Raw genomic sequence first — 24,247 nt, 5'->3', positions numbered from 1 at the left:
GTTAACAGATCGTTTGTGCTATAAATGGAGCACATCCGTTACAATAAATTCTACTCCACTAGTTCATTTCTTATTAAAATTATCCTTATTAAGAAATCCTACATTTTTATCAGCTCTTGTAATCCATTAGTTTAGAAATAAGTTAGAGCACCTAAAAATATTCCTCCCAAACATAAACAGCTTCTAGATATTTTTTTCTCCACCTATCATTCTAGCATTTTTTTTTTCTTTCTGAGACAGGGTCTTGCTCTGTCACTTGGGCTGGAGTGCAGTTGTGGGAACATGGCTCACCACAGCCTCAACCTCCTGGGCTCAAAGGGATCCTCCCACCTCAGCCTCCTGAGTAGCAGGGACTATAGGCACAAGCCCCCAGGCCTGGCTAATTTTTTGTAGATGTTTTGGCCAATGAACGTTTTTCACTATTTTTTTTTTTTTTTTTGGAAGACAGAGTCTCACTCTGTCGCCCACGGTGGAGTGCAGTAGCACGATCTCGGCTCACTGCAACCTCTGCCTCCCAGGTTCAAGCAATTCTCTGCCTCAGCCTCCCAAGTAGCTGGGATTACAGGCACCCACCATCATGCTCAGCTAATTTTTGTATTTTTAGTAGAGACGGGGGTTTCACCATGTTGGCCAGGCTGGTCTTGAACTCCTGACCTCGTGATCCACCCACCTCAGCCTCCCAAAGTGCTGGGATTACAGGCGTGAGCCACTGCACCTGGCTGTTTTTCACATTTTATGTAGACATTTATTTTCACATGTATCTTGACATTCCCTGCAGCTCATTGTGGGGGGCAATTAAGGCAGAGAATAAGTGTTACCTGCGGCCAATAAGAAATAATGAATTTCTGGCCAGGCGCGGTGGCTCACGCCTGTAATCCCAACACTTTGGGAGGCTGAAGCAGGTGGATCATCTGAGGTCAGGAGTTCAAGACCAGCCTGGCCAACATGGTGAAACTCTGTCTCTACCAGAAATACAAAAGTTACCCAGGCATGGTGGTGGGCACCTGTAATCCCAGCTACTCAGGAGGCTAAGGCAGGAGAATCTCTTGAACCCTGGAGGCTGCAGTGGGCTGAGATCGCACCACTGCACTCCAGCATGGGCAACGGAGCAAGGCTCCATTTCAAAAAAAAAAAAAAAGAAAGAAATGATGAATTTCTTTTAGGGGCCTTCCAATTTGCCCAGGCTGGTCTCAAACTCCTGAGCTCAAGAGATGTTCCCAAAGTGTTGGGATTACAGACCACCGCCCAGCCAACTTCCAATATTTTAATACCTAAATTAACAACTCTTCTAACACATTGGCCTCCATTTTCTCCTTATCTTCATCCTTAGTTCCATATATCTCTAACTCTTATCACCTGAGCTACCTGTTAGCACAGAGAAACTCCAGGTTTCCTCAGCATTTAAAAATGGCCTGCCTGGCCAGGTGTAGCGGTTTATGCCTGTAATCCCAGCACTTTGGGAAGCTGAGGCAGGAGGATTGGGACCAGCCTGGGCAACATCATGACGCCCTGTCTCTAAAAAAAAAAAAAAAAAAAGTTTTGTTTTTTTGTTTTTTTTAATTAGCTGGGTGTCGTGCTGCATGCCTGTTGTCCCAGCTACTCAGGAGGTTGAGGTGAGAGGGTCATTTGAGCCCAGGAGTTTGAGGTTGCAGTGAGCTATGACTGCACCACAGCACTCCAGCCCTGGCAAAACAGCGAGACCCTGTCCCAAAACAAAAAGGCCCACCTTCTAGGGTCTTGACTTGGAACTGCTCCTATGTCCTCAGCTGTCCTCAGTTTTCCTATTGCCTTGCTCTCAGTAAACCTGTATCTCACCCTCGTTGAGATACAGTTTTTTCTGGCTAGCCATTTTAGCAAACACTCAGGCTACTGCCCTAAAATCCCTGAGCTCTGTGAAATTCACCATTTCTTACTGGCCCCAGGTAATAGTTATTCTCTGCCTTAATTGCTCCCCACAACCAGCTGCAGACAATATCTAGATAAAATCTGAAAATTGGCTCCTAAAACATTCCCTGTCTCATGTGAGCTTGAGCTCTCACTATTCTTCACTTCACCTGCTTTGGTCTGTTGACTGAGCCATGAGCAGTCCCCATCTCTAGCCATTCTAGACCTCTGCCCTCAAGAACCAATTTGGGTCTGTCATGTGTCTTAACTATCAGTAGAAGACCATCCTTCTATTTACCAAAAACAGGCTGTGTTTTGACAATTTCCTCCTCTCTCTTAAAATTCTATTACATCTGTTTCTTCCCTCTTATTTTTTCCTTTACTCTGGGAGAAGAACTGTCTTGCCAAGGTTAAAGTTCCCCTTTGTGTTTTCTCTTCCATCTCCTCCTCCCTCTTCCAGGATTGTGACCCTCCCGCTCTTCCCTCTTCTCCCTTTCAACTGCCCATGCTGTCTTTCTGCAAAAAGGCTCAAGTTTCTGTTATTCTAAAAATACTCTCAGCTGTTTACCTGCCTCTAGTTACTTTCCCATCATCTCAAAATGTCTAGAGTGAACAGCCTGAAACTGTTACCCTGCATATCCTTACTTCCCACTCATTTCCTAATCCCATGCAATCTGGTTTTCATTACAACTTCACCTAAATACCACTCACTAAATTTAGTTGGGAGTTTCTGCAGCTTTTGACATTCGATTACTAATTTCCACCTTAGAAGTCTTCTCCTTTAGATTCTAAAACATACCAATCTCTTGGTGCCTATGCTTCTTCGACCATCTCTCTTACTGATTGGCTCTATATCCTCTCTCTGCTCCCTAAATGTAGGTATGTTCCTCAAGGTTTGTCTCTAGCCTGCTTTTAATTCCATTGTTTTCCTTTGGGATCTACACTGTGGACCTCCTATCACTTGTATGTGAATGATGGGCCGTCACTAACCTCTCTTAAACTCTAGACTTTTTTTCATAATTATCTGTTTATCCCAATAGAACTAATAACATTTCCTACCCCACATACCCCAAACAAATCCCACTCATTTAATGGAACTGTCATTTTCCCATTTGCCTAAATCCAAAAGCTCAGTATCAATTCTTTCCTCCAACTGAAATCCACATACAAATAACCGCAAAGTCCCATAGATTCCCCATGGACCATAGTTCTCTCATTCACACCCCGCCCCCTTTCCCTTCCTACTAACCTACAAGCTGTGTCAGGACCATAATACCTATGGCTTTCTTTTTCTAAATTGGCCTTCCTATCTTAATCTCTGCTATTTTAATCTCCCACAATTCCCCTATACATACCTATGATCTAACTCAGAGGGTTTCGACTAGCTGTAGAATCATCTGGGGTGCTTTTAAAACAAAGGAAAGCCAAGGCCCACTCTCAGAGATTCTGATTTAACTAGCTTAAGGCGGGGTCTAGGCACAGACTTTTGTTCATTGCTGAGGGTGGTGTCTTTTGCTCTCAGCTGCTTTTAATGTGCGGCTAAGGCTGAGAACCACTGCTAGCCAAACTGGAACTGAGTTTTCTCAGACTTGCATCTTGTTTGCTTTGTCTGGCTCCCTCCTCATGGCACTTATTTCTCTGCAATGGACTATCATTAATCCATTGTGCTTTAACAAATGTGTTCAATTTTATAACACAAATAATCTGAAATTTTGTTCAACCTCCACTCCCCTTAATCAACGTCTCTTTCCTTCCTTCCAGCCATTTACCACGTGTACAAATGCAGCAAGTAGTTTTTATTTTTATTTTATTTATTTATTTTTTTGAGATGGACTCTCGTTCTGTTGCCCCGGCTGGAGTGCAGTGGCATGATCTCGGCTCACTGCAACCTCTGCCTCCAGACTTCAAGAGATTCTCCTTCCTCAGCCTCTTGAGTAGCTGGGATTAAAGGCGCACACCACCACGCCCAGCTAATTTTTGTATTTTTAGTAGAGACGGGGTTTCACCATGTTGGTCAGACTGGTCTCGAACTCCTGACCTCCTGATCCACCTGCCTCGGCCTCCCAAAGTGCTGGGATTACAGGCATGAGCCACCGCGCCCAGCCCAGCAAGTAGTTAATACAATTTACTTCATTTTCACAAATAGATCATGACTTTAGGCAAGTAACCTCTCTTAACCTGGACTTCTCATCTCTAAAATAAAAAGACTGGATTAGATGACCTTTAAGTTTCCTTCTACTAGGAAGGAAATAATGATTCTATGATTATTTTATCATAAAAATTACTATTCTGATTTTATCAAATTATAATTTTGATTATTTTATATCGACTAAGTAGATTCTTGGACTAAAATATTATTGGACTAAACAAAGCATCATTGGTGAATGATGCTTCTAGTATACTGTACCTAAATATCCAGTTCAAACAGTTCTAGCTTCTCTGATAGTTTCTGCAATAGAATTATTGCCATATCTATTGTGATTCTGTCTGCAAGACGACATCCATCTCTTTAATAATGCAAAATATACAATTTAAAGCAGCTTCTAATCACTGTAATCTTACTGCAGCCAGAAAAATGATAAGAAATACCATCACATGAGTTCTTAAATCTAGATGCCAAGTTACTGTTCCTTTCACAAACTGATTAAATCCATTTGTTCTATTATTACCATATAAACCCAGCCAGAGGAAACACAAGCTCCACTTTCAAACTGTTAATTTTAATATTAACATATGAAAAATAATCACGGCAATGAAGTCATTTACTACTTATTCCTGATAGCTAAGCATGAATAATATATGCAGAAAAACATTTCATTTCCTAAATTATGGTCAAATATATTATGAAGGAAAAATTTTCTGGTAAAGAGGATGGAATAGTAAGGGCTAATTGCAGCAGAAAGACACTGATTGAGTTGGCTGCTGAGAAATGAGGACAGGTGCAATGGCTTGCGCCTGTAATCCTAGCACTTTGGGAGGCTGAAGCAGGACAGCTTAAGCCCAGTCTGGGCAACATAAGGAGACACCTGTCTCCACTAAAAAAAAAAAAAAAACCAATAGCTGGCCATGGTGGCGTTTGCTTGTGGTCCCCGCTGCTTCACAGGCTGAGGCAGAGGAGGACTGCTTGAGCCTAGGAGGTTGAGGCTGCAGTGAGTGGTGATCAAGCCACTGCTGCACTCTAACCTGGGTGACAGATCGAGACCTCATCCCAAAAAGCAAACAAACAAGAAATGAAGAAAATCCTGTGTCAGATGAAAGAGTTCAGGCTTTACCCTTGCTAAAACATGGACAGTTTTTCTTCTCAAGCCATGACTTTGTTTGTACATCTTCAAAATGAAGACAGTGAGCTACATAAATCAGTTCCAAAGTTGCCTGATACAATCACCCAAAAAGCTTTTTGAAAATAACGAATACCAGGCCCCCACCCCCGGAGATTATTCTAATACAGGTCTGAGCTATGACACACACTTCTGAATTTTTAATTTTTAAACTAGATATCTATTTCTTTTCATACATGATTGAGAAACATTAAGATAAACTCTAAGATATATTTCTAGTTCTAGAATTCTACTGTATACAGAATAATGCCCCTATGAGGTGTTCAATAATAGCAAAATGGCTTAGTAATAATCTGAGAGACTACTATAAGAATCAATAGCTATCAGGTAAGTATATACATGGCTATTTTGATTATAGCTAATCAGTGAAGTAATGGAAAAAACAACCATCCAACCATCAATTAGCCAAAAGGACTTAAAAATTTTGTTTTCAACATATTTAAAAACACCAACACTCTTGCCAATTAAAAAGAAAATGTATAGTGAGAGTTTAGGATGAGAACTGCTTTTAGACACTTTTCCAGTTTGTTTCAATATTTCAATATATTTCAAAAGGGATTGTTTTTTAATGAGATATCTATCTATAGATATCGATAGATAGTCTGCTACGAAATACACCACTCCATTAAAAAAAGATTTAGGAAAAATGGATAATTTCAAAAATTAAATCCTCTGGAAATTAATCACCTGAGTCTGGTTTCATTATCGATTTTAGGATAAAAACATAGTTTTAAACTTATTTTTCACTTTAAAGACCATTATTTTTAAAGCTTTAATTTTTATTTTTTAGTAATAATGGAAATATTTTGTGGTTTGAATTTTGGAAACCATGTAATTATAATCCTATATTTGCAGATTCACTTTAGGTCTTCACACACAAAAAAGTCTACTTTTTCACATTCCATTTTTTCTGCTAGGTTACATTTTATAAACTCTGTAAACAGGAAACTACTCAATTACAAAAGTCCTATGTTGGTTTATTCACTATTAAACTATCTAAATAAGGCTTGTTTGAAATGAAAAAATTGGCAGTCAGAAAATATACTGGAAAGGAACCAGGTAACAAAAACATCCATTCTGTCAAGCTGTACTAGTAGGGGAAGAGGGACAAATGTGTGGAATAAAAAGGTTATCCCATCTGTTTGGCATGTTGTTTTTCATTCAACAGTATTAAATAAGTGGCAGCGGCATTGTAAAAAATTTCAGCTGATGCTTTCAAAGTCTAAGCACTTTAAAATGATGATCAGCATTAGGTTCAAGAGCCTAGGGCCCATAAGCTCTTATGAGGACACACTCTTATATTTCTTCTTCCTAGGTTTAAACCATCACAAAGGAGGACATTTCGAATCAGTGTTTATGCTTTGCCACCTGACAAGCCTCTTAGAAATCTGAACCTCTAACCGATCGTTCCTTCCAAGTACAGACTTGCCATTATGCCAGAGTTCATATACAGTCCTCGAAGCAGCAGACCAGCATCTTAATATTTTTCATGTATTCTGCATATATATAGCCAGAAGTTAAAACTCCACAGCATACTTCATTCTCATAAAAGTTATAAATTTCTTTCAGTAAAAGCTACTGCTTCTTAGTCTGGTTATTACAGCTAAAGACAGCTCTGACTCCAACTAATTATACTAAGGGTCTGAATAATACCGGAAAAAAGCCCCAAAGAGTATTTTGAAGAAGTCTGTGTTCATATACTTCATTAAGAAGCCACATCTCAATGAAAATACTCTATAAATATGAAAGGACCAGTGATAACATCACATAACTTGAATATCAGAGGAAAACACTCAAGTTCACATTTTTAAGTGCTACAGATCATGAAGTAGCCTCCAAAACAACTATTTACTTTTAAAAATCCTCCTGCTTTCAAAGCATAAAGGAAATATTTGATGGATTAAATATCACATTGCCAACTAATAGGTTTAGCGGCTTGATGGAAAAGGACTAAAACAAGTTTCTACCAATTATACCTTGTCTATATAAAACAAAGTCAAAGCCTATTTACAAAGAACAAATACGTAGTCTTAAACTAACAGCCGAGCCATCCATGAATAATGACCAAAACAAAAAGCTGGATAAGAGCTTTGATAACCTGGGTTCAAATTATGTCAGTATCTTATTCTCAAATGCAAAGAATTATTTTCAAATGCAGATAATGACTGATGTATCACTTAGGGAGTTAGTGAGACTGAGGACTCACATGAATAAAATTTTATCAAACTTAAAAACGGTGTATTCTGAGGACTCAAATGACCAAATATTTTATCAGACCCAAAGATTCCAGCTATGTAGTGGTTTCACCAGCCTAAAAAATAAGATTTAAAACACTTTTTCTACGTAAAATTTTAGGCCTTCAGGTTTCTTATTGCACAGGACTTGATGAGGTGTAATTTGGTCAGGCCACATTAGACTTACGAAACAAGTGAAAAGACAGGGACAGGAATGTTTTTGAAATGTCTCTGATACTGTGAATTATTCCCTTGGTAACTTCTAGAATGCTTTATTAAAGTGACAGTACCAGCGACTCCTAGCATATCTACAGAACTAAGTTCATTAAGTCTAGCTGATAAATCTAACTTTTTATTAACTTAAAAGTTAGGATAAACATTTAAAAAAGCTTCTACTGTAGATATGCCCCATTTCAAGAAACTATAATATACACAAAACCTCATGCTTACAAAATAGTCAAAGTAGGGAGAGAGTATTACAAAAAATTTTTACTGTACAAAATAACTCACTTGAGCATTTGTTAAAAGATAATTTGGATTACAAAATTTTGATTAATGCACTTTCCAGGAAATACTAGGTTGGTGCAAAAGTAACTGTGTTTTTGCCATTAAAAATGACCCAAAACTGCAATTACTTTTGCACCAACCTAATTATCCAGTTCATAATTTGGGCTCACCTATGTCTAGATTCAACATCTATAGGGAAAGAAGTAAAATGGGTGTGTAAGAAGAAAAAGTCAAAGCAAATAAGCAAAAATCATCATAATAGTACAGGCTAATAAATGAAGAAATCGAGAGACAGTTTCATTAATTAATATATTTTCTGCATTATAGTTAACATATGTACTTTCTTCGTGTCACCTTATTTTCCGTTAAGTATTGATATTTTGTTATATTCAAACATGAGTACATTTCAACAGTCTTTTGCAATAAATACCATAAAATAATAGAGATTCGCATAATAAATATTCTTTACAATAAAAAAGTTTAACAGACTTTTGTCTTAAAAATAGTCAGAATTCAACTTTGTGATTTATACATAAAATATACAAAAAGCACCACAATTTGTGGTTAAGGCAAGGAAAACACAGAAGAGATTAGAATTACTCAGCTGTTAACTATCCAAGGGGCCAAAAGGACCATTAAGGAGCCAAGATCACTTTAGGCAGCATAGTTCTGTGACACATATAGATTGATCAGCTATAAATATCAACTTGAGTTATCCAAGTGCCCTCAATGACAACAAAAATTTGGTGAGAAGCATGGGGTGAAGAAGGAAGGTGGCTGAGTCCTTCACAAATACGAAGGCTAGAGTGAAGATGGGCAAGGTCCAACCAATATTATCTCCAATGTGAAGATTTACATTGTAAGGCGAATCTAAAATTACATAGAAAGAAAAAATACACTTGGCATCTCCAGAGTAAGACAACAACAAAACTGAGGGGGAAAGAACCTTGAAGGAGAAAGAAGGAGAGGGCAGTGGTTAAAGGAAAATTTTTACGTTATAGCAAAAAATATATCCCCCATGCTACTTAAGGGGCCTATGCTAGGAAGATAGCCCTAACTGGAGACAGATTTAATACATAGCTTATTTAAGCAATTAAACAGTTGCTTTTTAAAAAACCAATTTCCCTGCTCCCACGGTACCCAATCAAAACAACTCTAAATCACTGTAGTCTGGATGTGGGTGTATGTTCATGTACACAACTTTAGAAAGTTGCTTGCAGAACAAAAAGGCTACACAAAAGCCCACTGGCTCTCAATACCCTCAAGTGGATGGCAGAGGCTCTTGTTGAAAGTGGGAGCCAGGTGCAGCTTCCCAGTCCACTCTTGCTGAAGATCATCCATGAGGAAAGAGAAAAATCCATGAGTTAGACCTTGGCAACAGGGGAAGAGAAGGTGGGAAACAGGGAAAAATTCTAAAGAAAACAAAAACAAAAACAAAAACAAAAAACAGCCACAACTTGAAAGCTAAAAGTTCAGGAGGTACAACCCACCTCCAAAAATCATGATGGTTTACCCTGACCCCGGGAGGGGCAGCTCTCCAGCTTACAATAGACAGTGTTGGAGTTCTTACATCTGCACCCTGGGCGATGGATCCAGTCATAACACCTCCTGCACAGCTTCAGGCATCCTTTAGCAGGAGGATAACAGAGTAAGCAAGGTAAAAATAAAGACATGGCTCCCATACACAGGTATCTAGAGCAGCAGTGTGATTGTGAACAGGAGCAAGGATTATCTGAATAGGAATCCCCTTCGTCGTCATTGGAGCAGTGGTAGAAGATGCCCTTGACTAAGCACATGCAGGTTCCATATTCCACCATGCTCTCAGCAGAGCAAAGGCACTGCCGGTTACAGGCCAAACAGGATGGTAGGGTCCTGGGAGCAGTGCATTCTCCACACTTGCACTTCCCACACTGTTCACAAATGAACTTGTGCTGTGTCAGGTCCTCTTTCAAGGAACCCTTCAAGTCATCCACAATCAGTTGCTTGGGCTGGGTCCGGATTGCCCTTTCAGACCTATGACCAGGGACTGGTCTGGTTGGTGGTGACCTTCCTAACAGTCCCTGTTCAGAAGAGGCACTGCTGTTGCTCCCAGAGCTGGCTGCACTTCCAGTGCTGGTTGATCTGCTCAAAATGGGGCCCCTGGCATTACTTGGGAGTACTGCATGTCCCAGGTGGCTTGTGTGTCTGTGCTCGTAGTTATTATTCACATTAATTGGTATGATTTCATGAGTCCTTTCATGCTTTTCTTGTCTTGGTGCTGTCCGAGGAGCAGGTCTTTTCACCACCGAAGGCCCTTCTGTGTATTCATTGCTGCCTCTTATGGCCTTGATCTGGTCTAAGGACAAAATAGCAGTAGGCTGAATCTCTCTCTCATAGTCTAATCTCTGACGGCTATCCAAAGAAGGCTGCTGGATCACAACTAACGAACTGCCACTGCCATGTTGATTTTGGGGATCCATGTGTAGTGATCTCGAGTTCTGGCAATCAGTGGAAACCTGGCATGCATCTGAAATCCTAAAACGAAATCAAAGATGAAAAAAACAGAAAATAAATGACAGGAAGCATTTTTTTTGGGGGGGGGGAATCCTGTCAAATCACAAATTGCCTAAACCGCCTAGTAATGACCTCCTTCATCAGTGGATTACAATGATGCTGGGGTCCTGGCCAGAGTCCAATTCTAGGAGAGGCTGGGGACCACATCATAGAGGAAGACTATAAACAAGAGACCCCATGCCATGAACATTATAAGTTTTTCCAACTTTTAAGAAGCAGAATCAGGAGAAAGTAATGCCTTCCTGTTTGTGAATCTAATAATTAAAATGGAGCATGCCTTCGCAGGGAATACTGAGTATAAGCAGGAGAATAACTCTCATCTAAAGAAAGCTCAGTTATCAGTTCATAGGTGGCTTCCATAAAGGAAAATGTCTACCTTTTAAGAAATTGAGAATGGCTTTGGTGCTACAGCCTTTTTGTTGTGTGCTGTTATATGCATTAGATTAATGATGAAAAAAATTAAGGCATTAAAAAATTGAGACTCTTAAAATGAAATCGCAAAATAATAGGTAATTTTCTATATAAATCAGAATTTTAAAACTACCTTATTATTCATCTATGAGATGCAAAAATAAATGTATCAGGTACACAACGATTCTTGGTGTTTTGGAGCTACAAACACACACACACACAAGACTCAATGTATAGTCCAGTGAATGATATATAACAGTACTCATATTTGAAATCCTGAGAGGATTTTTTTTAAGCTGAAGGGCTCACTCACAAAACAAAGTAAGTTTTATGCACAAATAAGTGTGAGGCCTTTAACGCAGTGTAGGGAAATCCTGGCAGTTTTAATTATCTGTATTTCCTCTGATTTAAAAATCTGTATTTACATGACAGACCTTGATTTTCAAACGCACTGCCAATTCTGATTCAACGTTCTTCTTGTAACAAAATCAGCACACTAATATCCAGATAAAAATAAGCAGTTGTGTTTCCATACTAATAGTAAGTTATTTCTAATTTATGTGTTCTTCACAAACTGCCAAAGATGAAAGTTTCTGCTTTCAGTGGTGAACTAGAGTATTTTTCACACAAATTCCTTCTAAAGTCTACAGAGTCGACCCAATTCAAGAATGAAAAGAAAAAGAAATGTCCATTCTCCACTACCAACCTGAGGCAAAAAACATGGTTTAAGGAACAACGCAGAAAGAAGTCCATTTCCTATATTTCCTAAACTAATGTCTCTAAACTATGTCTTACATGTTAACTTCTTGGAGCTCCCCCTCGTTTTCACAACTCAGCTCTCTCGAGTTTCTACTTTATTCTACCTTCTTTGCGCATGAGGAGTAACACATTCATAACCTGCGGGGATTTAGTCTCGGAGTCCTCAACATCTAATCCTGACTCCTGCACAATTATTCCTCTTCTTCAAGAACTTCTTAACTCAGTGCTTTCAAAGCAAAAGGTAGCTAAAAGTACTAAGCCAGATTCACAAAACCGCAGAGGATTTGAATAGTGTAACCCATAACACCAGGCACAACTTCAATTTGCATTTCCAATGATAGTTGTAACAAACTTCATACTGGCTGGGAAATAAAGTTGCCAGACAAAAAAATTAAAAGCAAAGAAAATTCGCCACCTCCGATCCGAAGAAAAGCCCATTTTCAAGCAGTGACAGTCTTGGACAAGCCCCAAACACGCTCACACGCGCTCGGCACACTGCCTTCCCCAAGAAAACGCGAATGGAAGTAGAATACCTTTTCGGACAATCCCATCACCATATTAAGGATCACCGTGGATTTCCAACACACTTTTTGGGTGGCCCACCAAGGTTTCTGAGAAATCATGAAGAGCCTTCAGCGTCCACGCGGGAGCCCAAAGCAAGCCCACGGTCTGGCTGACCCTAAGCAAGGATTTGTCTATGCTTTAAAGGAAAAGCTGGGTTCACCGAGGGCCGAGGAGAAAGAAGCCAGCGCAGGGGCGGCCACATTGCAAGTTACCACGGTGGAGCTGCGCCCTCTGCAATCCGCACTGAATAAATAGTTGACGGAAGAAGGAAAAGGAAAAAGTTATGAATGAAAACAAGTTCTTTCTCCCTCTCTCTGTGGTAGGAGGAGGGGAGGAGGCTGAGGTTACCATGAGCTCAGGAGGGCGGACTTCCCCACTTTTTTTTTTTGAGCCGGAGTCTCACTTTGTCTCCCAGGCTGGAGTGCAGTGGCGCGACCTTGGCTCACTGCAACCTCCGCCTCCCGGGTTCAAGCGGGTCTCCCGCCTCAGTCTCTCGAGTAGCTGTGACTACAGTCGCGCGTCACCACGGCCGGCTAATTTTTGCATTTTTAGTAAAGACGGGGTTTCATCAGTTGGTCGGGCTGGTCTCGAACTCCTGACCTCAGGTGATCAGCGCGCCTCGGCCCCCCCAAGTGCTGGGATTACAGGCGTGAGCCACCGCGCCCAGCCGACTTCCCCACTTTTAAAGTGGCAGTGCCCTCTCCCTTCCCCTGTCTTTGCACTGTGCTCCAAACCAGAAGAAAGTTGCGGCTGGCTTTGGGGCTGCCTAATTCTATCGAGGGGGTAATCGGCGAATTCCGGGGATGTGCCTACACACACACACGCACACACACAGCCTTTGTCGTCCCCCTGCTTGAGGCACACTCCTCCAAAGAGGGCCTCCGGGGACATCCCCAGAGCCGCCTGAAATCCCCCTTGGGCGTGAAGGGCTCTCCGAGAGGACAACCTGGGCCACCGCGCCGCCGCTCCGGGTAATCGGGGATGGAGGAGACCCTGTCCTGTTACGTTCCGCAGCCGCAGACCGTCGCCCACCCCGCCACCCAACCTTGAGCCCCCAGAAGCCGCGGCCCCCAGGGGGCAGGGAGCGGCGGGAGGGGCCGCGCCGAGCGAGGTCGTCCCTCCCCTCCCCTCCTCTCCCGGAGTCCTGGCTCGGGCAGCAGCGCCGCCGAGTCCGCACCTGCCGCGCCGAGCGAGCCCCGCCCGCGCGCCTACAGCCCAGCGGGCCGAGGGCGGCCGCCGCACACACTCACCTAGGCCGAAGCGGTGGCCGGGGGCCAAGCCGTGCGACCCGGCCCAGGTCCTGGTGCGGGCGGCGGCGTGCACGTGCCGCATCAACCGCGGCGGGGAGGGCGAGGCGGCATCGCCGGAGTTGGAGCGCCTCGGCTCGCGGCCTCCCCCGCCCCCGCCGCCACCGGCCAGGAGCGCTCCCCGCGGCCCCCTTCCGGCTGCGGAGGGCAGTTCTCCCGCGGCTCCGCGCGGCCGGGCCCGGACCTGTCACGGCTGGTGCTCGCCGGGCGGCTCAGTAACATCCACCTCGGGAGGTCTTCTGCAGCCCCTTTCCAAGAACCAGTTTTTACAAATCCTTTCAGGAAGGCTTCCCAAGTCTCAGAAAAACAAGTAGGGGAGTGGCGGAGTCGAGTGCGTGACGGGCCAGCTGACGGCACGGTGTGCTCAGAGAACTCGGGTTCTAGTCGCTCCTCGCAAGGAACGAAGGAAGGGATGGCGGCTTCCTGACGAGCGAAAAATCCACGTCACGGGCGTTCGAGACTCCGCAGCGCCCGGGTCGGGGCCCGAACCGCCGTCGGCGGGTGGGTCACGGAGCCGCGCAGTACCCCGGCGAAACCTCGGAGCACGCGCCTGCCAGGCAGAGGCTGCCGCGGCCGGGAGGGGGAGGGGGATTTTTTTACCCTTTTCTTTTTTTTTTTTTTTTTAGCGGGGAGGAGTGAAGAGAGTGAGGTTTGGGGATCCTTCTCGGAGAGAGAAAGGCGGGCGTCGTCCCTTGTGCCCCGCGCAGGCCGACGCGCTTAGCCGATTCCGCACGTTGGGCAAGTGGGGGCACAGCGTCCCCGGGCACTCCGGTCCCGGCAGGTCAGCCTCTCCCGGGCAGCGCTCACACCCAGTCCTCCGAGCCTGGGGTTCCACGGCCGAAATGCCTGCGACAGAGAATTAGAGATAGAAGCTCGTGAATGTCCCTTTCTTCGAAGGGCTGGGACCCCGGGCGGGCCGCTGGCCAGCTCGCCCGCAGCCCGTTGCCATGTGCTCCCTGTTGCTGCTCCCGGTGATTGACAGGCCGGCGCACAGTCGGCGTGTCAGCCGCGAACCAAAGTAACATGCAGTCCTGCACGTTTTTGCCGAGGTGCTTTTGCCCCCTGGAATGCCTAGGAGTTCAAACAACGTTCAAGCAACGCCTCTGCGCGTTAGGAATCAATACACAGAGACGGGAAATTCAGGTTTTAAACCAATGCTTCACTCGGGATTCGGTCGCCAACAATGCCTAAACAAACACGCATTTGGTCCACACACCGAGTGCTAGCCCCTCTTCGCATAAAGGCATTAACGGCTCTGTGTTTCACAAATTCGATCGTTTCAGACTTTAAACGTCTACTGTTCGGTTAAGGAAAGGTGAAAGGGACCCTGCTTTTTCTTTTAGCGGTAGCATTTACTTTAAGAGCATTAGTTTTAGCAGTGGGAATGCTACCGGTGTTTTGAAATGCAACCAGTAACCTTAGCTGGAAAGCAAGTTCAAATAAATAAATGTTCAGTTCCTTGCAAAAGTCAACATTTCTCACCTTATCTTTCCTAAAATGTCTACGGAAGGAAACGGTACTTACCTAATGCAAAGATTGCAAATTGCTTTTCAGGCACATTTAACAGCGACTGTAGCTGTTCCTTATCCAGGGCAGGGAACTGTGCTGATAATCACTCTGCAAAGCACGCAGTGGTTTGCAGAGCGGTCTCACTCCGGCTACGCAGAATTTCAGCTCCTTGCCTCCACCTCCACCTCCACTCCAGGACACGCCTCCGGTGATATCATGTGTCAATCACTCGGGCTGCCCGAAAACCTGGAACAGGATTTCCTTAACTATCGTTTCCTCTTTCGTTTATGTGTACCAACTTGGAAATGTTGCCCTACAGACTCGTGTAATAAACATCCTCTTAAAACTTCGGGAGTGCCTCTAAAAATTCTGCAAATGCAGTTTGTCATAGAGGAATACATTCGGATTTAGTTAGCAATCTTCAGTTGTCGATCTCAATTAAAAGGATTGGTGGACTCTACTCTTAAGTTGAATTAGAAAAGAATTGTGAAGAATAAAAGAAAATGAAAAAAGTTGTATGCCAAGCCATCACTTCTGACCAACTAGAGGGAAAACGTATATTGACACAAAAAGATGATTATATAACATTACAGTTCCTATTTACAACAAAGTTCAGAATATGTGAAACCTAAAGTTCAAAAGGTGGCACTCCTTACTGCAAATGTAATATAAGCATATGTAATAAAGGTGAAATTTTCTGCTGTGGGTTTTTTAAATAATTGCTTTACCTTGGCTTGTTATATGATTTCCCAAAAATCAAGCACATGGAGAAAAAACCAAATTCTTTCAATTTTGTAATATAGTTGTATAATTTTGCAAAAAATACAAACCCGTATATTTTTTAATTAGCTAAAAGTCAATTAATTAGAATAGAAAAAATTTATCAAGAAGTTTTATAATTCTTAGTAATAGCTGATATGACTGGAAAAAAAACACTTTAAGTAGGAAACTTGATTTCTACTTTCTTACAAACTATGGGATTTTAGGCATTTATTATCAAAGTTGTGCCTTTTCATGCTGCAGTGAGGATAACTTTTTGTGGAATTGAAGGTTCCGTAGAAACTTTTAAAAGCCACCTAAAGACCAAAAACTTAGTGGAAAGGAAATATTTTTCCAGGTACTATATATCAGGAGTAGCTTAAAGTCTGGCAAAACAAAGCAAACAATAACAAAACTCTAGAATCTAAATCATATAAACATATAAGTATGGAAATTTTTAGTTCAAAGTACATTTTTAGTCTCATTTACAATAGCAAGTGGTTCTGTTGAAACTATAAATATATACATACATAACACACACGCACACACACAGGACTTTCAAATGTCTGAGCACTTTCAAAAATTAAAGTTGTGTTTGGAATTGCCTCTGAAGAACACAGAGCATTGTTAAGAACATGAATAACAATAAAAAAGCATCATTAGAAAATAGCATAGAATAAGAATCAAGCCAAAAAGCTACATATTCACTCTTAATATTATGAATTGTATTAAAATAGGCTATTTAAAAGAATAAAATTGATTTCATTGTATTTTTTTCATAGATCTCATTAGATTTGGGGATGTAATGAAATTTTACTAGTGATGGATAGGTTTCTTGTGAATGTATTTGGAATAGACAAATCAAAAATAGACTATCCTATCAGAGTATCTTATTTGGTTCTTCAAAACTATTACCACAGTTGTGAGCTGAGAGGTCAGTTCACCAATATGATAAAACCTGGAGAGGGAGCACTGAACATTCTACCTTCATAAATCCTACAAAATATATTTGAAAGATTTCTATTGCAAATACACTCTATTTCAACCAGAAATGTATTAAAATAATTTTCATTAGATCAAGTATTTTTAAATTATAATAATCAAATCCATGAGATTTTTATCTAAAACACCATCACCATGGGTCATGTTGTATTAAGAAATTAAATATGCTGTACAGAGTTGATCAATAACCCTCCATGTCATTTAGCACTAAAATGCATTAATATGTTTTTCTCTAAATATTACATTACAAATAAATGTACGTATAGCTCTGTCACCTTGGTTCTAAAAGACATTGAATGAAACTTGCCTCTCCTGATTCCCCGCAACTATAAGACTTTGTAGAAATTCTAAATTTTTAGCTTAAAGTATACATTGTTTTTCACTTGGTAAGTTTAATTACATTGTAACTTGACTAAAAATGGATAACGGAAGTATGAAATTTTTCCAAAAATGAAAAACAATGCAAATATCAATGGGAAAAATCTTATAATAATTTTTAGTTTATTAAGATATGTCTAAATAAAGTGGAATGGAAAGTGAGCCCTGACTTGTCCTTAATTTTCATGTGAAAACAAGATTAGCCATCGCTTGTGTTAATTTGAGTTTTGAAAAAGAATAAAGTGAAATGAAAAAAATTCAGTAACTCCTCACAACTTCTAGTGATTAAAAAAAAAAATGGCCAGGCATGGTGGCTCACGCCTGTAATCCCAGCACTTTGGGAAGCTGAGGTGGGCTGATCACCAGAGGTCAGGAGACCAGCCTGGCCAACATGGCGAAACCTGGTCTCTACTAAAAATACAAAAAATTAGCTGGACATGGTGGTCTGTGCCTCTAATCCCAGCTACTCAGAAGGCTAAGGCAGGAGAATCGCTTGAACCCGGGAGGCAGAGGTTGCAGTGAGCCGAGATCGCGCCACTGCACTCCAGCCTGGGCGACATAGCTGGACTCCGCCTCAAAAAGAAAAAAAAAATTAATACAGTTATAGGAAGCTTAACTTATTCATGTATCTACTTTATTTGCCAAAATAAAAATAACAATCATGTGTTCCAAGCTTTTGAAAAATAATACGTTATTAATTCTCCTAATGTTTCTGTGAAGTCATGATAAATAAATGTATCACAGTCTTTTTATCTTGTTGAGAAACAAACACACAAACTAAATAATCACAGACATTGATGAGTTAGCTTATAAGCATGTCATAAATCAATGAAGACCGGTAATGGAAACTAAGTTCTCTTTACTTTCCTTTTAGGGCAATAGTCACTATATTACTATACTTCCCAAGAAAAGCTGGCAAGGATAGGCCATTTTATTTTCAGTTTCCTTTTGTAAACAATCTTTGTAGTTGACAGAAATAGACCAACCTATTCTGTAAATTTTCCATAAACATTCTCTTCATTTTCATAAGCGTAATTCTCATCCTTCTGCCTTATTTGAAATACGAATGTTCCGTATTGGTTTCAAATTCTGGAAGTGGGCAAATCAAGCAATACGTTGAGTAAATTACACTGAATGATTTGTAGTTTGTGTCAGCTCTATAATTCAACTAATCATTTGTGTACTTTGTCACAGGCGATTCTATTTTTCTGCAAGTTGTCAGAAAAGAAAGAAATATACCTGGACGTGTCCTAAATTGGTGCGCTTTATTTCTTAAGTGCCATATTCCTTTGGAGAGAATAAAAGTGACAAGAGTTCAGATAAACTGCATCCCTACTATATATTAAAGATTTTACTAATTAAACCCACATGGTAAGATTGTCTAAGGAAACATTTTTGCCCTACGTACAAAACAGTCCTCATTCTTACCTAGCTAATTGCAAAATAAATCCTGTCTTCTTTCCTCTTCCAGTGATGTCAGATGTTCCCCCCAAGCCTTGACTTGTTCTTTATTTTCATGAGAAAACAAGATTAGCCATCTCTTCCGCTGATTTGTATTTTGAAACAAGAAGTGGAATGGCCCTTATAATGATCACCTGGTATCATCTTTGATTCTGGTCAACAAAATTTATCAATCTCTCATTCCCACAACTACCTACTGCTATCTTAATCTTCAGAGACAAGCACGTAAGAATCTACGTTAAGTTAAACTTGTAACTGTCCCCCAAAGATAGCACAGTAAGAAAATAAAAGTGTGTTCTCATTAAAACAAAAACAAAACAAAAAAAGCATCTCTTAGGGCTTCCTCACTATAATATTTCCTATTGAAATAACCTACGTCAAAGGCTACAGTTTATCCTTTATTTGAACGGAAAAAAAAGTAGAATATTGATTTGATGAAACAACTATAGCCATACCCTTTAAGAACAGAGAATGACTAATATTGAAAAAAGAAGGCTGGACACGGTAGCTCACGCCTGTAATCCCAGCAGTTGGGAGGCCGAGGCGGGTGGATCACCTGAGGTCAGGAGCTCGAGACCAGCCTGGCCAACGTGGCGAAACCCTGCCTCTACTAAAAATACAAAAATGAGCCGGGCATGGTGGTAAGTGCCTGTAATCCCAGCTACTCTGGAGCCTGAGGCAGGAGAATTGTTTGAACCCGTGAGGCAGAGGTTGCAGTGAGGAGAGATCGCACCACTGCACTCCAGTCTAGGCGACAGAGCAAGACTCCATCTCAAAAAAAAAAAAAAAAAAAAAAAAAAAAGAAAAAGAAAAAAAAAAGAAAAAGAAAAGAAAACATAAAAAACTTCCCAAAAGAGTTTTTTTAAAAATATGTTTGCCAGGTGCGGTGGCTCACGTCTGTAATCCCAGCACTTTGGGAGGCTGAGGCGGGCGGATCACGAGGTCAGGAAATCGAGACCATCCTGGCTAACACGGTGAAACCCCGGTCTCTACTAAAAAAATACAAAAAAATTAGCCGGGCGTGGTGGCGGGCGCTTGTAGTCCCAGCTACTCGGGAGGCTGAGGCAGGAGAATGGCGTGAACCCAGGAGCCGGAGCTTGCGGTGAGCCGAGATCGCCCCACTGCACTCCAGCCTGGGCGCAGAGCGAGACTCTGCCTCAAAAAAATAAAAAATTTAAAAAAGTTTATACTTAGAGTTTCCCTTGATTTGTAATTTTCTTGTCACATTTCTAATAACTCCATTTATATAAACATTTCAAGTGGTCTATAATAATTGATAGGATACATGTATTGAAGACCTGAGTTCTGACGATATTATCCTTGTATATCATGGTCTATAACTTTAGCTTATGTGTCATATTTAATCATAATGCCCCTATGTCCAGTATTATAACTAGGAAAATAGCATGGTATTATGAAAAGAGTACCAGATATAGGATCAGATGATATGAAGTCCCAACTTTGCCACTTTCTAGCTAGGTAACCTTCACTTAATTTCTCTGAACCTGCTTTCTCATCAATAACCTGAAGTTAATAAAAATACTTGCTCTTCCCAAATCCTAGTGCTACTGAATGACTCATTATATATGCAAGGACTTTATAAGCTTTAAAGTTCTGTACAAATTATTAGTTATCATTGCCTCAATCACATTGTATGATGAGGAAATGTTTAAGGCCCCCTTTTTCTAGGTTCTTCACCCCAAATAATGATTTTATTTGCCTTATAACTGTTTTGAGGCAATTCTATTTTACTTTTGTTTTTCTGAGCCTGAGAACTCTGATTTTAATAATAGTATTGCTGTATGTGTGCATGAGGGGGATTTTGGACCAGCTATCTGCTAATAATTTGAGATTACACACCTGCTGAGCCCTGCTCACCTTATCATTTATCTGGAATTTTCAATCATTAATATTGTACTTCTAGTTAAGATAGAGATCATTATAAATAGTAAAAATCCCTTCTATAAAATTTGTAAACTCTTTGTGATCATTGAGTAAAAAAAGCAAATGCATATTTTAAAAAGTGATTGAATAACATTTATAAAAGTTGAAAATAAATAGAAAAGTAAAAAAACAGAATCCTACATATTTTCAAAAGGTATATTTACTGCTGCCTTTTTTATAATCTCTTAGAATGTTAGTTTTGATGCTCCATAAATACGGTAAGTTTAATAGCAATAGTTTCCATTACTTACCAATGTATTATATGAATCAGTGTTCTTGTATTAACTTAAAAAATTGATAGCACAGATATATTTCATATAGCCAGTGCATTTAACCTCACACACAAAAAAACCTGTGAAGCGCCACCTATTGTTAAAAATAAGTCATTTCAAATTTCAAACAAAAAATGTACTTGAGTCTAGGAACTGGGTTTTCACAGTGATCACCGCTTTACATTAGTTTCTTTTTTCTTTTGCAATACTGCCATATGGTTTAGAATAAGCTTTTAATAAAACTGCAAAAAAATTCATAATATATATTGGCTACTTTTTGAGGAATCTAAAGACATGAAAAGGCTTTATCTGTCTATAGGAAGTTACAGTATTGATGGAGAAGATAAAGTAGTGGGGACATTGAGTTTTAGCTAATATATAAGAATTAATATATCGATAAAGGTGTTTGCCCTCTTGAAGTAGTTACTTAGAAAAGGTACTTATTCCAATAATACTACAACTGTACAAATCTCTCTTTATATTCATATTGTATAATTGTATGTATATTGTGTAATTGTAAATATATATTTACAATACGAGTCCTTGTAAATATTCCTTGTATTGTTAATATCATCTGGGCTTACATCACATTCTCTCGAAATATCTCAATATTGTATATCAATATTGTATATGGGATATTGTATATATGGTAAATAATCTCAATATTGGAAAATGTCTCCCTTTTCAAAATGGATTTGGATTTTTCTAACACATAAATCAATAGAAGCCATGTGTATGGAGTAAGATGAGTGCTCAGGCTGAGTTAAAGTCTGGGAAGAAAAACAAAGCATCAATTTACATTTTTACATATATTAAATAAGACAACCAGCCTCCTAGAGGAAGACACAAAAGAAAGAGGACAGTGAGTAACAGGGGAAATTGTAAGCAGCTGAGAATAACAGGAATGTCTTCTACTTTGGCTTGTTTCCTTCACTGGCTATGTTACTTTCACAAATCTCTTTCCCTCCCGAATCCCAAATGGTCACCTGTGAAGTGGCTACACTACACAGAATTAGGTTTGGAGATCAAACCTAATTCAGTTTTTTAATTCATACTCTCAATAATTTATGCATTTGTTTAATAAATATTTACTAAGCACCTACATCATGCCAAGGAAGATGAATGCATTATGAACAAGACAGAAAAAGCCCCTGTCCTCATTCCTTATGAGAGTTCACATGTAGGAGGAAGAGACAGGCAATAAACAAACTAATATTTTGTGACAGTAATGGTAAGTACTGCCATGAGAAAATGAAGCTTGGCTGGAGTGATAGGGGTTGAGAGGTGATGACTGCTTTAGCGAGGGTGGCCAAGAAGGGTCTCTCTGAGGAAGTGAGATTTGGGCAGAGCCATGATGAGGTGAGGGAGTGAGCCACTAGTGGGGAAGCAGGAATCCAGCAGGAGAAATGGCCAGTGAAAAGGCCCTAGGAAATATCACGTGGAACTAGGGAGAGGAAACATGGTAAAGAGGAGGTCAGAAAGGAAGGCTACAGCTATATCATTTAGAGCCTTGTAGCCCATAATAAAGACTCTGGATTTTTTTCTAAAGTCATAAGAGGTTTTGCAGCTGATGGTTATCTGTTCAAAATGTTTAAAGATCTGCTATGGGCCGGGCACGGTGGCTCACACCTGTAATCCCAGCACTTTGGGAGGCTGAGGTGGGTGGATCACCTGAGGTCAGGAGTTCAAGACCAGCCTGACCAACATGGCAAAACCCCATCTCTACTAAAATACAAAAATTAGCCGGGCGTGGTAGTGGGCACCTGTAATCCCAACTGCTCAACTACTCAGGAGGCTGAGGAAGGAGAATCACTTGAACCCGGGAGGTGGAGGTTGCAGTGAGCTGAGATCCTGCCACTGCACTCCAGCCTGGGTGATAGAGCGAGACTCCATCTCAAAAAAAAGATCTGCTATGAAAGATCTGCTATGTTAAATGTTAAAAGGGTGCTGTAGGGAGAATTAAGACCAAAGAGAAATATTTATGTTAACACATAGCATAAATTATATATTGCTATAAAATATAAAGTATTAATCATTATAGGAAGAAGAACTTGAAACTTATCCTAAAATAAATAGGATTCGTAGAAGAGGAAAAGAAAAAGACAGCTTACCCTTAGTGCATGGCACAAGGAAATACTGGAATGTGCAAATAGGTGTAGGCACATCGTGATTGTGGTCAATTTACAAGACTTACATGAGTGGAAGGGAAGATTTCTTGTCAAAATTGGATAAGTAAGCTAAGGACGAATTACAGAGGGACCTTAATGCCAACATGATGATCTGGGCTTGATCCCAAAGACAATAAAATTGATGAATCTATATTCATCAGAAAAGTTAGAGGCATTGCAATCTCTTCCATTCACTTCTGTTCAATTTTGAAAGAAGTAAGAGGAGAAAAAAAGCATTTTTAGGGAGAAAAGTGTGCATAAGAGATCACTAATATTTTATAGCTATGTCTGGCCAACTCAAGGAATGGAATATTGATTATAATTTGCTGCTGTGGCCCAGAGATATCAAGCAGTATTTATGTTCCATTAAAGAGTTAATCAATTAGACCATCAAAATGATTGCTGAAAAATTCCCCAGTGAAGATAATGTATAGATACTAAGAAACCTTAATCCATGAAAAAATTGCAAATACTACACTTATAGAAAATTGAGATCAAATATTTGTAATAGCAAGTAAGGTAGGGATGCTATTGTGATTTGAAAAAAATTAAAACTTTTCAATTCATTGTCCAGCTCTATATGGTAAGTGAGTCATGGACTTCACTTGCTTCCAAGATCATTTTGGTTCATACACCCATCAATCTAACAACTGCGTATTGGTACTAGGTGTGGTACTGTGCTAAGTATTAGGGATACAAAGATGAAAACAAATTCATGGGCTAGCTGTAGGCAGTGCCTCAGTTGATGGGAATAGGGATGAGCTCAGGCTCAAGATCTAACGACAGCCAATCCATAGCCTAGGCCATAGCCTAAAGATGTCTTGGTTTCTCTCTCTCTCTTTTTTCTTAATTAAAAAAAAAAGACTGTTAGAAAAAAAGAATGAGCTGGTCCAGCCTGGAAATTATGGAAAGAATAAGGCAGTTACTTTATGAAATAGAATCTTCAAAGTCATGAAGAGAAGGGCGATGCGGGACCATGAGTTAGTAAAAGTGATGACTAAACACAAATCCTTAGGTAATAATAACAAAAATATCATCTTTCTTGTTTCTTTTTTCTTTTTTTTTTTTTTTTTGAGACAGAGTCTCGCTCTGTCATCCAAGCTGGAGTGTGGTGGCACAACCTTGGCTCACTGCAACCTTCGCCTCCCAGGTTCAAGGATTCTCCTGCATCAGCCTCCTGAGTAGCTGGGATTACAG

The 24,247-nt window shown here is 40.4% G+C and overlaps 1 protein-coding gene across 6 annotated transcripts, besides 1 other annotated feature; it reads right to left on the bottom strand.

The window, feature by feature from the left end:
- Positions 1-8,253: 8,253 nt before the first annotated feature.
- On the bottom strand, positions 8,254-15,219 carry SPRY1 (sprouty RTK signaling antagonist 1). Of its 6 annotated transcripts, none has more exons than NM_001375410.1 (3): positions 15,082-15,219; positions 13,501-14,403; positions 8,259-10,477 (listed from the first exon to the last, which is right to left on the bottom strand). In NM_001375410.1, exon 3 carries the CDS (start codon positions 10,420-10,422, stop codon positions 9,463-9,465), a length of 960 nt encoding a protein of 319 aa, NP_001362339.1. In that variant the 5' UTR covers positions 10,423-10,477; positions 13,501-14,403; positions 15,082-15,219; the 3' UTR covers positions 8,259-9,462. The 6 variants fall into 6 exon arrangements, with proteins under 6 accessions (NP_001244968.1, XP_047305448.1, NP_001362339.1 ...); NM_001258038.2 differs by having other exon boundaries at positions 14,158-14,403; NM_001258039.1 differs by lacking the exon at positions 15,082-15,219 and having other exon boundaries at positions 8,254-10,477; positions 13,501-13,628.
- Positions 13,235-13,784: a silencer, noted in NCBI's record as "silent region_15667". NCBI's record gives its function as "represses an Ori minimal core promoter by ATAC-STARR-seq in GM12878 lymphoblastoid cells {active_cell/tissue: GM12878}" and the evidence as "EXISTENCE:reporter gene assay evidence [ECO:0000049][PMID:35858748]".
- Positions 15,220-24,247: the final 9,028 nt, after the last annotated feature.

Source organism: Homo sapiens, chromosome 4 (genome assembly GCF_000001405.40).
Source record: "Homo sapiens chromosome 4, GRCh38.p14 Primary Assembly".
Taxonomy (NCBI): domain Eukaryota; kingdom Metazoa; phylum Chordata; class Mammalia; order Primates; family Hominidae; genus Homo; species Homo sapiens.
Note: the sequence above shows the minus strand (reverse complement) of the source record. Positions and strands in the feature narration are given on the sequence as shown.

Excerpts from the sequence above, each read along its gene's own strand:
- SPRY1 (NM_001375410.1), bottom strand. The coding sequence starts at position 10,422 with ATGGATCCCCAAAATCAACATGGCAGTGGCAGTTCGTTAGTTGTGATC.